We start from the raw sequence: 15714 nt of genomic DNA, 5'->3' as shown, positions 1-15714 counted from the left end.
CGCAGGGGTCGTTGACATCACGTAAGAATGCGCAGGGGTGTCCCCATCTAGGGTCCTCATCCCCCACCAGAAAGGCCCTCCGAGGCTACGGTGGTTGGGATGGCGTACCTGAGCGAGTGTCGCCTGCGACTGGAGAAAGGCTTTATCTTGGACGGGGTGGCTGTGAGCACCGCTGCCCGCGCTTATGGGCGCTCTAGGCCCAAGCTGTGGTCGGCGATTCCGCCCTACAACGCGCAGCAGGACTACCACGCCCGCAGCTACTTCCAGAGTCACGTGGTTCCGCCCCTTTTGCGGAAAACTGATCAGGTATAGGAGCTTCCCGGAAGACCCCACACACCTCCCTAAATCTTCACTCCAGCGTTCTCACCACAAAGAAGGCTCCGCCACTTTCACCTCCTCGGTTTACTTTCTTTTCTTTTTTAAATTTTTATTTATTATTATTATTTTGAGACAAAGTCTCGCTCTGTCGCCCAGGCTGGAGCGTAGTGAGTGGCACCATCTTGGCTCACTGCAACCTCCGCCTCCCGGGTTCAAGCGATTCTCCTGCCTCAGCCTCCCGGGTTCAAGCGATTCTCCTGCCTCAGCCTCCCGAGTAGCTGGGGTTACAGGCGCGCCACCACGCCAGACTAATTTTTATATTTTTGGTAGAGACGGGGTTTCGCCATGTTACAGGTGTGAGCCTGTAATTATAGGGTCTGATTCTCGCCCAGGCTGGAGTGCGGTGGTGCCATCACGGCTCACTGCAGCTTCCACCTCCCAGGGTCAAGCAACCTTCCCACCTCAGCCTCGCGATTAGCCGGGACTACAGGCTCGCGCCATCACGCCGGGCTAATTTTTTTTTTTTTTTTTTTTTTTTTTTTTTTTTTTTTTTGTAGAGAGGGGGTCTCGCCATGTTACCCAGACTGGTCTTGAACTCCTGGGCTCACGCTATCCTCCCGCCACCGCCTCCCAGTTTTCTTAACGCAGCCCGAGGACTGGAGGAAAGGGAGGACAGGTGTTGAGCGCAAGCTCCCTGAGCTCACAGAATGGCCTTCCAGCCCTGAATTTGAGAATAGACTCATTCCAGGTTTCTGCAAGGCAAGGGGATAGGGCTCAAAGCCAGCTTCTCCCAAACCAGTCGGTGTCTTTGTCTTTTGTGACGTCACAGACCCGCCCTCTAGGGTGACCTCACACCGCAAATTCTCTAAATACGCAAAAATCCGTGTGACCTCAGTGAGCAAGACAAAGGGAATTGATTTGACCTGCAGGGCGAGACGCCTTCCTCCTGTGACATCATAGTGGCAGGGCATGGGGCTTGCTCTCCGGGTTCTTTGGTCTGATGGGAGGGACACCTCTCAAACCTCTGCGGACCTCAGTTCCTCCCCCTGGCCTTTTCCCTCCTAGGTGTAGGCCCCTTCCCAGCAGAGTTCTCCTCCACCAACCCCCCAGATCAAAGATTCCGAGACTGTTTGCTGATGGTTCAATTTTTCCCCCAACATTTTGCTTCCAGTATTTGTGTTTCTACGTATAAGCGGTGTGGGGAAGAGACAGGAAGACTCATGGGGTTATTCTGTGAGCAAATCTTCGGGATTTGTGTGTGTGTGTATAGTCCCAAATGTTTGTTTGCATAGGTCTGTGCAGTGCATGTATATGGACATACATGAGTCACACATGTGTTGACTCATGTAATTTTTTTTTTAATTTTTTTTTGAGACGGAGTCTCGCTCTGTCGCCCAGGCTGGAGTGCAGTGGCAGGATCTCGGCTCACTGCAAGCTCTGCCTCCTGGGTTCACGCCATTCTCCTGCTTCAGCCTCCCAAGTAGCTGGGACTACAGGTGCCCGCCACCACGCCCGCCCGTCTAATTTTTTGTATTTTTACAAAAAATAGTAGAGACGGGGTTTCACTGTGTTAGCCAGGGTGTTCTCGAACTCCTGACCTTGTGATCTGCCTGCCTCGGCCTCCAAAAGTGCTGGGATACAGGTGTGAGCCACCGTGCCCGGCCCAATTTTTCTTTTCTTTTCTTTTCTTTTTTTTTTTTTTTGAGACAGGGTCTTGTTCTGTCACCCTGGCTGGAGTGCAGTGGCATAATTTTGGCTTACTGCAACCTCTGCTTTCCGTGTTCAAGCGATCCTCCCACTTCAGCCACTCTAGTAGCTGAGACTACAGAGACAGGGTTTCACCATGTTGCCCAGGCTGGTCTTAAACTCCTGAGCTCAAGTGTTCTGCCCATCTCGGCCTCCCAAAGTGCTGGGACTATAGGCATGAGCCACCATGCTGGCATCGACTCGTAATTTTACGACAGAAGGAACCAGAGTCTGGGGAGGGGAAAAGGAAGAACTTGAGTATTTAAAAGGTTGAAAATGATAGGGTATACATATTTTGAAAATGCTTTCTTTCTTTCCTTTTTTTTTTTTTTTTTTTTTGAGACAGAGTCTCACTCTGTCATCCAGGCTGGAGTGCAGTGGCGTCATCTCAGCTCACTGCAACCTCTGCCTCACAAGTTCAAGCAATTCTCCTGCCTCGGCCTCCTGAATAGCTGAGATTACAAGCGCCCGCCACCACACCCAGTTAGTTTTTTGTATTTTTAGTAGAGACGGGGTTTCACTATGTTGGCCAGGCTGGTCTCGAACTCCTGACCTCAAGTGATCCACCTGCCTCAGCCTCCCAAAGTGCTGGGATTACAGGCGTGGGCCACCGCACCCGGCCTTGAAAAAGGCTTTCTAATTTTCTTTTTTGAGACAGAGTGCAACTCTGTCACACAGGCTGGAAGTGCAGTGGCACAGCTCACTGCAGCCTTGAACTGCTGGGCTCAAGCAATCCTCCAGTCTCAGCCTCCTGAGTAGCTGGGACTATAGGCGTGTGCCACCATGCCCAGCAGCTAATCTTTTATTTTATTTTATTTTATTTTTGAGGTGGAGTCTCGCCCTATTGCCCAGGCTGGAGTGCAGTGGCACGATCTCAGCTCACTTCAACCTCTGTCTCCTGGGTTCAAGTAATTCTCTTGCCTCAGCCTCCTGAGTAGCTGGGATTACAGGCATGAGCCACTACACCTGGCTAATTTTTGTATTTTTAGTAGACACCGGGTTTAGCCATGTTGGCCAGGCTAGTCTCCAACTCTTGACCTCAGGAGATCCTCCAGCCTTGGCCTCCCAAAGTGCTGGGATTACACTGCTCCCAGCCAATCTGTTTAATTTTTAAAAGTATTATTTAATTATCAAAACCACCATTTGTGGTAGGTATTATTTTCATTTAAATAAAGATAACATTTATTAAACTTTACTATGCCAGGCCCTTTATCTGAACAAAATCACTTAAGTCTCACAGCAAGCCAGGCACAGTGGCTCAATCCTGTAATCCCAGCACTTTGGGAGGCCGAGGCGGGTGGATCACTTGAGTTCAAGAGTTTGAGACCAGCCTGGCCAATATGTGAACCCTGTCTCTACTAAAAATACAAAAATTAGCCGGGCATGGTGGCGCGTGCCTGTAATCTCAGCTACTCAGGAGGATGAGGCAGGATAATTGAACCCAGGAAGCGGAGGTTGCAGTGAGCCGAGATGGCAACACTGCACTCCAGTCTGGGTGACAGAGTAAGACTGTGTCTCAAAAAACAAACCTCACAGCAATACTCCTTTTACCGATGGGAAAACTGAGGCCCAGAGAAGCTGTGTAATTGGCCCAAGGTCACAAAGCCTGTTAATGGTTGAGCTGGAGTTAGAACCCAGCCTGTCTGGCAGCAGAAACTGAGCCTTCAGCTGCCAAGCTCAACTGCCCCTCCCGGAGAGGCAATAGGTTCTTCTTTTTCTTTTTCTTTTTTTCTTTTTTTTTTTTTTTAGATGGAGTTTGGCTCTTGTTGCCCAGGCTGGAGTGCAATGGCAGGATCTCGGTTCACTGCAACTTCTGCCTCCGGGGTTCAAGCAATTGTACCGCCTCAGCCTCCTGAGCAGCTGGGATTACAGGCGCCTGCCATCATGCCCAGCTAATTTTTTGTATTTTTGGTAAAGATGGGGTTTCACCATGTTGGCAAGGCTGGTCTCGAACTCCTGGCCTCAGGTGATCCACCCACCTTGGCCTTCCAAAGTGCTGGGATTAGAGGCCTGAGCCACTGCACCCGGTCTGGTTCTTAAATATATTTAATCTGTCTGCACCAGTTACCTAAGGCTCTGACCTCTTCCCTATCCCCACAGCAAACCCCAGGGCAGTTTGCACTGTGTCCCCCTCAGCATTGTGGCTGACAGTGTTCTTGCCCACTTTCTCTTGCCCACTTTCAGGATCATGGCGGTACAGGAAGGGATGGCTGGATAGTAGACTACATCCACATCTTCGGGCAAGGACAAAGATACCTCAACAGGAGAAATTGGGCAGGGACAGGCAAGTGCTGCCTCCATTTCTAGCCTCATCATGGTTCCTGGGCCATAGCAAGGCCTGGTTGAGGGGAAGAGGCAAAGGGACTGCATCCTTCCAGCTTTTCTTCACATACATGAGCAGATGGTGCCACAGTGCCCCCTAATATTAGTTAATAAGCACCAGTACTGTATGTCAGACCTCATTTTTTTTTTTTTTGAGACGTGGTCTCACTCTATCACCCAAACTGGAATGCATGAAATGCAGTAGCACGGACAGGTGCAGTGGCTCACGCCTGTAATCCCAGCACTTTGGGAGCTGAGGCGGGTGGATCACTTGAGGTCAGGAGTTCCAAACCAGCCTGGCCAACCTGGTTGAACCCTGTCTCTACTAAAAATACAAAAAAACAATTAGCCAGGCGTGGTGGCTCGCACCTGGAATCCCAGCTACTTGGGAGGCTGAGGCAGGAGAACTGCTTGAACCCGGGAGGCGGAGGTTGCAGTGTGCCAAGATCGTGCCACTGCACTCCAGCCTGGGCGATGCAGCGAGACTCCATCTCAAAAAAAAAAAAAAAAAAAAAAAGAAAGAAAGAAAGAAAGAAATGCAGTAGCACAATTACTACTCACTGCAGTCTTGACCTCCTGGGCTTGCGCAATCCTCCCACCTCAGCCTCCTGAGCAGTTGGGCCCACAGGTGTGCACCACCACACTCAGTTAATTTTTTATTTTTTGTGGAGATGGAGTCTCCCTATGTGGCCCACGCTGGTCTTGAACTCCTAGGCTCAAGTGATCCTCTGGCCTCAGCCTCCCAAAGTGCTGGCATTACAGACATGAGCCATTTGTTGGGCACTTTTCACCCTCACACTAACCCCATGGCACAGGTAGGAAAACAAGTTTCTTGAGTTAAAGTAATTTGGCAAGAGGGCTGAGCTGGGATTAATAGTCTGCTCTTCCTGGCCTGGTGCAGTGGCTCATGCCTGTAATCCCAGCACTTTGGGAGGCCGAGGCAGGCGGGTCACGAGGTCAGGAGTTCGAGACCAGCCTGGCTAACATAGTGAAACCCCGTCTCTACTAAAAATACAAAAAATTAGCCGGGCGTGGTGGCAGGCACCTATAATCCCAGCTACTTAGGAGGCTGAGGCAGGAGAATCTCTTGAACCCGGGAGGCAGAGGTTGCAGTGATCCGAGATTGCGCCATTGCACTCCAGCCTGGGCGACAGTGCAAGACTCTGTCTCAAAAACAAACAAACAAAAAGATTCTGCTCTTCCCAACTCTGAAGCCCCTGTTCCCCTCACTGCTGCATCCTGCTCATTTTCCAGGCCCAGGTTAACAACAATGGGAAAGAGTTGAGAGATATTTTTCTAACAGGGTAAACCCTCCTCCCAGCCTGGCTCCACCATCCTGGGCCACTCCTCTAGTCACATGATACTTTGTGCCATTTGGCTCAATTGATCTTGATCTCATCCATTTTTTCCACATGGGTCAGAGGCAAGGGTGAGATTTTTCTCATTTCTTGTGGGAGAAAGGCAAGCTTTGCCAAGCCCAGAATTTCTGGCCCTTCCTGTCCCAGCACAAACCATTCACAGTTTTCCTGCAATTATTCCTGGTGCGGGGTTTTATTTCTAGGAAGCCTTCTGCCCCTCAACCTCACCAGCCCTTGGCTTTTCAGCCCAGAGTCTCAGGACACTTGTGGATTGCGTGTTCAGCATGGGGAATGCAAGTGACTACGCCTGGTTGGCATCCCATACCACACCCAGGGGAATGGGGAAGCCAAGAGGTGGGCTGAATGCAGGCTCAGGCCTCTCTCTCCTTGTCCCCAAGGGCATTCTCTCCAGCAGGTGACTGGGCATGACCACTACAATGCTGATCTGAAACCGATCGATGGGTTCAATGGAAGGTTTGGCTACCGCAGGAACACTCCAGCCCTCCGTCAGAGCACGTCCGTCTTCGGAGAGGTCACCCACTTCCCTCTGTTCTAACAGCATCTTTTCCCTTCATAGCCATCGACCTGAATTTCTAAGACAAATGTTTAGATGAACTCTTAGTGTTATTTTACGTTAAAAAAATTAATTTGTGTCTCCACGTGTGCTGTTTCTTCCCTGAGATTAGAGGATGGAGCCAGTTCTACCCTCAGCTTCTCTTCCCTCTGGAGAGAAGGTGAGAGGAGAAAGGGCTTCTCAGGCCTACGCCCTTGCACTCCATACCAACGAGTGCCAGGTTTGAAAGGAGGGGCTTCAGTTCTCCCCTACCAGTGGGATAAGAAGGAGCCACACTACTCAACCTCAATAAAGCACTTCCCCAGCTATCAGCAGGGCCCCAGGTCAGAGCTGGCTATTGTTTCCATCAAGAACAGAGCAAAGGGCCGGGCGCTGTGGCTCACGCCTGTAATCTCAGCACTTTGGGAGGCCAAGGCAGGTGGATCACAAGGTCAGGAGATTGAGACCATCCTGGCTAACACTAAAACCCCGTCTCTACTAAAAATACAAAAAAATTAGCCGGGCTTGGTGGCGGGCACCTGTAGTCCCAGCTACTCGGGAGGCTGAGGCGAGAGAATGGCGTGAACTCGGGAGGCGGAGCTTGCAGTGAGCCGAGATCGCGCCACTGCACTCCAGCCTGGGCAACAGAGCAAGACTCCGTCTCAAAAAAAAAAAAAAAAGAACGGAGCAAAGGCCAGGCTCCGTGGCTTACGCCTGTAATCCCAGCACTTTGGGAGGCCGAGATGGGAGGATTGCTTGAGCTCAGGCAGGTGGATCACTTGAGACCAGCCTGGGCAACACGACGAAACCCTGTCTTTACTAAACATATATATATGTTTGTGTGTGAGTGTGTGTGTGTGTGTGTGTGTGTATACACATATGTTTATGTATATATATATATGTTTATGTATATATATATGCATATAGAGAGAGAGAGAGAAGGAGAGAGAGACTCACTCTGTTAGCCCAGGCTGGAGTGCAGTAGTGTGATCTCAGCTCACTGCAACCTCTGCCTCCCGGGGTTCAAGCAATTCTCCTGCCTCAGCTTCCCTAGTAGCTGGGATTACTGGTGCCTGCCACCATGCCCAGCTAATTTTTTTGTATTTTTAGTGGAGGCGGGGTTTCACCGTGTTGGTCAGGCTAGTCTCGAACTCCTGACCTCACCTCGGCCTCCCAAAGTGCTGGGATTACAGGCGTGAGCCACCTGCCCGGCCCAGGATGTCATTTTTCAAGTGTTCCCTTTCAGTTTATTGGTGGCCAAGGGAAAAGCCAAAGCAGATGATGGATAATTAAGAAGGTGGGGCTTTAGAACACAAAGCTTGCCAGAACTCGTGTGGGTGGAACTTGATTGTATTGAGTCACCGTAAGTGGACACGGAAGAAGCTTATTACAGGTAGAGGGGGTAGGGCTCAGGGATAGAGCATTTGACTGCAGATCAAGAGGTCCCCGGTTCGAATCTAGGTGCCCCCTTCTGTGGTGTTTTCTCACTTCCACTCCATTTAACAGTAAATACTGTCAGCCACAGTATCACCTGAAAAGATGAAGCAACTTTCAACTTGCTCTTGTGCTGAAATTGTTCCTCCCACATTCCAGCTGACCTTTAGGACAAAAAGCCCATCTGGGACCTCATTTGTCTTCAATTAAGACCAAGTCCCTGAGGAGATTCTAAATCTGTGAGTGAGTCTGACAGAGCTGTGAACACAATTTGGTAATTGGGTGTGTGTCAGAGTATAGATAAAAATGCACGTACTTTTGAAAACTTAGTACATGCAAAGCTGCCTCGAATTAAAACATGAAAGAAGGGCCAGGGCCAGGCGCGGTGGCTGACGCCTATAATCCCAGTGCTTTGGGAAGCCGAGGCGGGTGAATCACGAGGTCAGGAGTTCGAGACCAGCCTGGCCAACATGGTGAAACCCCCGTCTCTACTAAAAATACAAAAAATTAGCCGGGTGTGGTGGCACGCACCTGTAATCCCAGCTACTCGGGAGGCTGAGGCAGGAGAATCACTTGAACCCGGGAGGCAGTGGTTGCAGTGAGCCGAGACCGCACCATAGCACTCCAGCCTGGGCAACAGAGTGAGACTCTGTCCAGAAAAAAAAAAAAAGTTCAAGACCAGCATGACCAATATGGTGAAACCCTGTCTCTACTAAAAATACAAAAAATTAGCCGGGCGTGGTGGTGCACGCCTGTAATCCCAGCTACTTGAGAGGCTGAGGCAGGAGAATCGCTTGAACCTGGGACGCAGAGGTTGCAGTGAGCTGAGATCGCGCCATTGCACTCCAGCCTGGGCGACAGAGCGAGACTTTGTCGAAAGAAAAAAAAAAAGGCTTGGTGCGGTGGCTCACGCCTGTAATCCCAGCACTTTGGGAGGCCAAGGCGGGTGGATCACGAGGTCAGGAGATCAAGACCATCCTGGCTAACACGGTGAAACCCTGTCTCTACGTAAAATACAAAAAATTAGCCGGGCATGGTGGTGGGCGCCTGTAGTCCCAGCTACTGGGGAGGCTGAGGCAGGAGAATGGCGTGAACCCGGGAGGCGGAGCTTGCAGTGAGCCAAGATCGCACCACTGCACTCCAGCCTGGGCGACAGAGTGAGACTCTGGGAAAAAAAAAAAGAAAGAAAGAGAGAAAAGGAAAGAAAGAGAAAGAAAGAAAAGAAGGAAAGAAAGAAGGAAGGAAGAATAGAAAGAGAAATAAAGAAAAGAAGGAAGGAAAGACAGAAGAAAGGAGAGAGAAGGAAAAGAGAGAGAGAGAGAGAAATGCCGGGTGCGGTGGCTCACGCCTGTAATCCCAGCACTTCAGGAGTCCGAGGTGGGTGGATCATGAGGTCAGGAGTTTGAGACCAGCCTGACCAACATGGTGAAACTCCGTCTCTACTAAAAATATAAAAATTAGCCGGGCATGGTGCCGTGCACCTGTAATTCTAGCTACTTGGGAGGCCGAGGCACCAGAATCGTTTGAATCTGGGAGGTGGAGATTGTGTGAGCCGAGATTGCACCAGCCTGGGCAAAAAGAGTGAGACTCTCTCTCCTAAAAAAAAAAAAAAAAAAGAGGCCGAAGCAGTGGCTCACGCCTGTAATCCCAACACTTTGGGAAGCCAAGGCGGGCTGATCATGAGGTCAGGAGATCAAGACCATCCTGGCTAACACGGTGAAACCCCGTCTCTACTAAAAATACAAAAAAATTAGCCAGGCGTGGTGGCGGGTGCCTGTAGTCCCAGCTACTTGGGAGGCTGAGGCAGGAGAATGGCATGAATCCGGGGGGCGGAGCTTGCAGTGAGCCGAGATCGCGCCACTGCACTCCAGCCTGGGTGACAGAGTGAGACTCCATCTCAAAAGAAAAAAAAAAGAAAAGAAGGAAAAAAGGAAGGAAGAAGGAAAGCAAGAAAAGGAAAGAAGGAAGGAAAGATAAAGAAAGAAAAGGAGAGAAAGATGGAAGGAAAGAAAGAAAAGAAAGAAAGAAGGAAGAAAGGAAAGAAAGAAGAAAGAGAGAAAGAAAAGAAGGAAAGAAAGTAGGAAGGAAGGAAAGAAAGAGAGAAAGAAAATGAAGGAAAGAAGGAAGGAAAGAAAAGAAAGAGAGAGAAAGAAGGAAGGAAAGAAAGAAAGAAAAGGAAGGAAAGAAGGAAGGAAGGAAAAAAGAGAGAAAAGGAGGCCAGGCGCGGTGGCTCACGCCTGTAACCCCAGCACTTTGGGAGGCCGAGGCAGGCGGATCATGACGTCAGGAGATTGAGACCATCCTGACTAACACGGTGAAACCCCGTCTCTACTAAAAATACAAAAAATTAGCTGGGTGTGGTGGTGGTGGATGCCTGTAGTCCCAGCTACTCAGGAGGCTGAGGCAGGAGAATGGCGTGAACCCAGGCCACTGCACTCCAGTCTGGGCGACAGAGCAAGACTCCCTCTCAAAAAAATAAAATAAAATAAAATAAGATGAAAAAGAATTGCTTATTGCTTAAATGGAAGGGGCATATGTCACATTCTGGGTGGTGTACTTCAGCTTTACATCTTTTTTTTTTTTTTTTTTTGAGAGAGGGTCTCGCTCTGTCACCCAGGCTGCAGTGTAGTAGCATGACCACGGCTCACTGCAGCCTGAAACTCATGGGCTCAAGTAATCCTCCTGCCTCAGCCTCCCCAGCAACTGGGACTACAGGCATATGCCACTACACCTGGCTAATTTTTTTTTTTTTTAACATAAGTAGAGAGGAGGTCTTGCTTTGTTGCTCAGGCTGGTCTCCAACTCTTGGGCTCAAGTGATTCTCCCACCTCAGCCTCTGAAAGTGCTGGGACTACAAGTGTGAGCACCGTGCCCAGCTTCACATCTTGTGTCTGTTTGTCCCAAGTGTGGGATGGGTACTGCAGGCATTTGCAATTTGACTGGAGATAGACAAAAACACTGAATCACAGAATTAAAAAAATTATTCCCTTTCCTATCCTCAGTAACTTAAGAAAAAAGTCGTTTAAAAAATTTTTTTTAAAGAGATGGACTCTCACTCTGTCACCCAAGCTGAACTACAGTGGCACAATCACGGCTCACTGTAGCTTCCAACTCCTGGGCTCAAGTGATCCTCCTGCCTCAACCTTCCAAGTAGCTGGGATTATAGGTATGTGCCACCATGCCCAGCACTGTACACTCTTTGAATAAAAGAGAGGGAGATTGGCTAGGCGTGGTGGCTCACACCTGTAATCCTTGCACTTTGGATTTAGAAGATTTAGAAGTGTTAGAGAGCTGGCACCAAATAAGAATTCCTCCTGTCAGGCACAGTGGTGGCTCCAGCCTGTAATCCCAGCTCCTCTGGAGGCTGAAGTGGGAGCATCACTTGAGTCTAGGAATCGAGATCAGCTTAACCAATATATTTAGACCCTGACCAACATATTGAGACCCATTTCAAGAAAAATAAAATGTATCTAGTTAGTGTTTAATAATGTCATATTTAGGCCGGGCGCGGTGGCTCACGCCTGTAATCCCAGCACTTTTGGAGGCCGAGGCGGGCGGATCATGAGGTCAGGAGATTGAGACCATCTTGGCCAACATGGTGAAACCCCATCTCTACTAAAAAATATAAAAAATTAGCCGGGTGTGGTGGCACGTGCCTGTAATCCCAGCTACTTGGGAGGCTGAGGCAGGGGAATCGCTTGAACCTGGGAGGTAGAGGTTGCAGTGAGCTGAGATCGTGCCACTGCACTCCAGCCTGGGGACAGAGCAAGACCCCATCTCAAAAAAAAAAAAAAAAGTCATTTTTAGTTTCCATTCTATTTATGGCAAGTAATACTGATTCTCTTTAATAGCTTTATTGATATAATTTACATGCCGTGCAATTCAGCCAACAAAAGCCTACAATTCAATCATTTTTAGTATATTCACAAAGTTGTTCACCCATCGATACAATCAATTTTAGCACAATTTCATCACACCAAACTGAAACTCCATACCCATTGGCAGTCAACTTCCTATTTCCTCCCAACCTACCCATCTCTAGGCAACCACTAATCTACTTTCTGTCTCTATTGATTTGCCTATTATAGAAATTTCCTATAAATGGAATGATACATGTGGTCTTTTGTGACTGGCTTTTTTCACTTAGCATACTGTTTTCAAAGTCTATCTATGTTGTAGCTCTTAACAGTACTTCTTTTTTATTTTTTTTTGGAGATGGAGTCTCACTCTGTCACCCAGGCTGGAGTGCTGTGGTGCAATCTTGGCTCGCTGCAACCTCCGCCCCCCTGTTCAAGCGATTCTCCTGCCTCAGCCTCCCAAGTAGCTGGGACTACAGGCATGTGCCACCACGCCCAGCTAATTTTTTGTATTTTTAGTTGAAATGGAGTTTCACTGTGTTAGCCAGGATGGTCTCGATCTCCTGACCTCGTGATCTGCCCGCCTCAGCCTCCCAAAGTGCTTGGATTACAGGCATGAGCCACCATGTGTAGCCAGTACTTCTTTTTTTATGGCCAAATAATATTCCACTGTGTGGATATACCATACTTTATCTATTCATCATCATCAGGTAATGGATATGTTTTGATTCTCTGCCCTACTTTATTTTTGAGACAGAGTCTCACTCTGTTGCCCAGGTTGGAGTGCAGTAGTACAATCTTGGCTTACTGCAGCCTCCAAATCCTGGGTTCTCAGCCTCCTGAATAGTTGGGATTACAGATGTGCACCACCACACCCAGCTAATTTTTTACTTTTAGTAATTTTTGTATTTTTAGGGTTTTGCAATGTTGGCCAGGCTGGTCTCCAACTCTTGGCCTCAAATGATCTGGCCATCTTGGCCTCTCAAAGTCCTGGGATTACAGGCATGAAACACCATGCCCAGCCTCCCCCATGTTTTAACTGGTATGAATAACGGCTACTATGAACATTCACGTACAAGATTTTGGCCAGGTGTGGTGGCTCACACCTATAATCCCAGCACTTTGGGAAGCCGAGGTGGGCAGATCACTTGAGGTCAGGAGTTGGAGACCAGCCTGGCCAACATGGTGAAACCTCCTCTCTACTAAAAATACAAAAAAATTAACCGGGTGTGGTGGTGTGCGCCTGTAATCCCAGCTACTTGGGAGGCTGAGGCACGATAATCGCTTGAACCAGTGGGGTGAAGGTTGCAGTGAGCCAAGAGCACAGCACTGTACTCCAGCCTGGAAGACAGAGCAAGACTCTGTCTCAAAACAAAACAAAATAAAAAGCCATTCATGGGCAATATTTTGTATTGATGTATGCTTTCATTTCTCTTGGGAGTATATACCCAGGAGTAGAAATGCTGGGTTATATGGTAACTAAGTTTAACCTTTTGAGGAACTGCCAGACTCTTTCCCAAAGCATTGCTTTTCTTTCCTTTTTTCTTCCTTTTATTTTTTTGTCAGACAGTGTCTTATTGTGTTGCCCAGGCTGGTCTCAAACTCCTGGGCTCAAGCAGTCCTCCTACCTCAGCCTCCCAAAGTGCTGGGATTACAGGCATGAGCCACTGTGCTCTGCTTGCTTTTCTTTATTTAATTAAATTAATTAATTAATTAAGTTTGAGGTGGAGTCTGGCTCTGTCACCCAGGCTGGAGTACAGTGGTGCAATCTCAGCTCACTGCAACCTCTGCCTCCTGGGTTCAAACGATTCTCCTGCCTAGCCTCCTAAGTACCTGGGATTACAGGCGTGCACTGCTACGCCCAGCTAATTTTTTTGTATTTTTAGTAGAGACGGGGTTTCGCCATGTTGGCCAGACTGGTCTTGGATTCCTGACCTCAGGTGATCCACCTGTCTTGGCCTCTCAAAGTGCTGGGATTACAGGCGTGAGCCACTGCGCCCGGCCCTCTTTTATTTTTTGAAACAGGGTCTCGCTCTGTTGCCCAGGCTGGAGTGCAGTGGTATGATCTTGGATCACTGCAACCTCTGCCTCCTGGGCTCAGGCAGTCTCTCACCTCAGCCTCCTGAGTAGCTGGGACTACAGGCACATGCCACTATGTCCTGCTAATTTTTGTATTTTTTGAGAAACAGGGTTCTACCACGTTACCCAGGCTGGTCTCCAACTCCTGGGCTCAAGTGATCCACCTGCCTCGGCCTCCCAAAGTGCTGGGACTACAGCAGTGAGCCTGCTTTTCTTTTAAGTAAACTTTATTCAAATACATTTAAGTAAATATTTAATAGGTATTTTGTTTGTTTCTTTTCTTTTTTTTTTTTTCTGAGACAGAGTTTTGCTCTTGTTGCCCAGGCTGGAGTGCAATGGCGCTATCTTGGCTCACCACAACCTCTGCCTCCTGGGTTCAAGTGATTCTCCTGCCTCAGCCTCCAGAGTAGCTGGGATTACAGGCATGTGCCACCACGCCCGGCTAATTTTGTATTTTTAGTAGAGACGGGGTTTCTCTATGTTGGTCAGGCTGGTCTCAAACTCCCAACCTCAGATGATCTGCCCGCCTCAGCCTCCCAAAAGTGCTGGGATTACACGCGTGAGCCACCGAGCCCAGCCTGTTTCTTTCTTTCTTTCTGTTTTTTTTGAGACAAAGTCTCACTCTTGTCGCCCAGGCTATAGTGCAGTGGTGCCATCTTGGCTCACAGCAACCTCCACCTCCTAGGGTCAAGTGATTCTCTTGTGTCAGCCTCCCAAGTAGCTGGGATTACAGGCACCCGCCACCACGCCCGGCTAATTTTTGTATTTTTAGTAGGATGGGGTTTTTCCATGTTGGCCAGGCTGGTCTCAAACTCCCAACATCAGGTGATCCACCCACCTGCCTCGGCCTCCCAAAGTGCTGGGATTACAGGAGTGAGCCACCGCGCCCGGGCAATAAGTATTTTTAAAAAGCCATAAGAACTAATAAGTGAATTTAGCAAGCCTGTAAAATAGAAGGTTACTATACAAAAGCACGTTCTTATCTATTAGTAGCAAACAATTGGAAAATTAAAATTTTTAAATTTTATTTAAAATAGCATCACAGGCCGGGTGCCTGTAATCCTTGCATTTTGGGAGGCCAAGGTAGGCGGATCACCTGAGGTCAGGGGTTCCAGACCAGCCTGGCCAACACGGTGAAATCCCATCTTTACTACAAACACAAAAATCAGTAGGTCGTGGTGGCGTATGCCTGTAATCCCAGCTACTCGGGAGGCTGAGGCAGGAGAATCGCTTGAACCCAGGAGGCGGAGGTTGCAGTGAGCTGGTATTGCGCCACTGTACTCCAGCCTGGGCAACAGAGTGAGATTCCGTCTCGAAATAAATAAATAAATAAATAAATAAATAAATAAATAAATAAATAAATAAATAAATAAAATAGCATCACAAAAAATACAACATTTAGAATAAATTTAACAAAAGATGTGCAAAACTTCTATTCTGAAAATTACAAAACAGGTCGGGCGCAGTGGCTCACACCTGTAATCCCAGCACTTTAGGAGGCCGAGGTAGGAGGATTGCTTGAGTCCAGGAGTTTGAGACAAGCCTGGGTAAGATGGCAAAACCCTGTTGCTACAAAAATAAAAATAGCCAGGCGCGGTGGCTTATGTCTGTAATCCCAACACTTTGGGAGGCTGAGGCGGGGAGATCACTTGAGGTCGAAATTCGAGACAAGCCTGAGCAACATGGTGAAACCCTGTCTCTACAAAAAATACAAAAATTAGCCGGGCGGGTGGCGGGCGCCTGTAATCCCAGCGACTTGGGAGGCTGAGGCAGGAGAATTGCTGTCCGGGAGGCGGAGGTTGCAGTCAGCTTCGACCGCAGCCTGGGAGAGCAAAACTCCTTCTCAAAAAACAAAAACAAAGGGAGAAGAAGAAAAAGAAAAAGAAAAAAGAAAAACATGCCAAAAACACATAGTAACTGAAGGGAAAGGAATCTGCCAGCTTCCCACTATGGGAAAATCTGCCACTGTGGAAGCTGGCAGATTTTAAAAGTTTGGCAAACGGAAGCTGATGGAATTTCGATTTGATGGTTTCTATTTAGCTTCGTA

At 48.5% G+C, this 15714-nt stretch overlaps 1 protein-coding gene and 1 non-coding gene across 2 annotated transcripts; one reads left to right on the top strand and one right to left on the bottom strand.

The window, feature by feature from the left end:
• The first annotated feature begins 50 nt into the window (after nucleotides 1-50).
• Nucleotides 51-6403, top strand: SPMAP1 (sperm microtubule associated protein 1). Its single transcript, NM_001080465.3, has 3 exons — nucleotides 51-306; nucleotides 4249-4348; nucleotides 6143-6403. The coding sequence occupies exons 1-3, from the start codon at nucleotides 100-102 to the stop codon at nucleotides 6298-6300; spliced, it is 465 nt and encodes a 154-aa protein (NP_001073934.1). The 5' UTR covers nucleotides 51-99; the 3' UTR covers nucleotides 6301-6403.
• Nucleotides 6404-15596: 9193 nt separating this feature from the next.
• On the bottom strand, nucleotides 15597-15651 carry MIR4727 (microRNA 4727). Its single transcript, NR_039880.1, has one exon. It is a non-coding gene; the product is annotated as a microRNA 4727 (primary transcript).
• Between the last annotated feature and the right edge of the window lie 63 nt (nucleotides 15652-15714).

This window comes from Homo sapiens, chromosome 17 (genome assembly GCF_000001405.40).
Source record: "Homo sapiens chromosome 17, GRCh38.p14 Primary Assembly".
Taxonomy (NCBI): domain Eukaryota; kingdom Metazoa; phylum Chordata; class Mammalia; order Primates; family Hominidae; genus Homo; species Homo sapiens.
This window is presented reverse-complemented; position numbering and strand designations above follow the sequence as displayed.

Excerpts from the sequence above, each read along its gene's own strand:
- SPMAP1 (NM_001080465.3), top strand. The coding sequence starts at position 100 with ATGGCGTACCTGAGCGAGTGTCGCCTGCGACTGGAGAAAGGCTTTATC. Across the intron at positions 307-4,248 it reads TTTTGCGGAAAACTGATCAG|GATCATGGCGGTACAGGAAG; the intron begins GTATAGGAGCTT and ends GCCCACTTTCAG. Across the intron at positions 4,349-6,142 it reads GAGAAATTGGGCAGGGACAG|GGCATTCTCTCCAGCAGGTG; the intron begins GCAAGTGCTGCC and ends CTTGTCCCCAAG.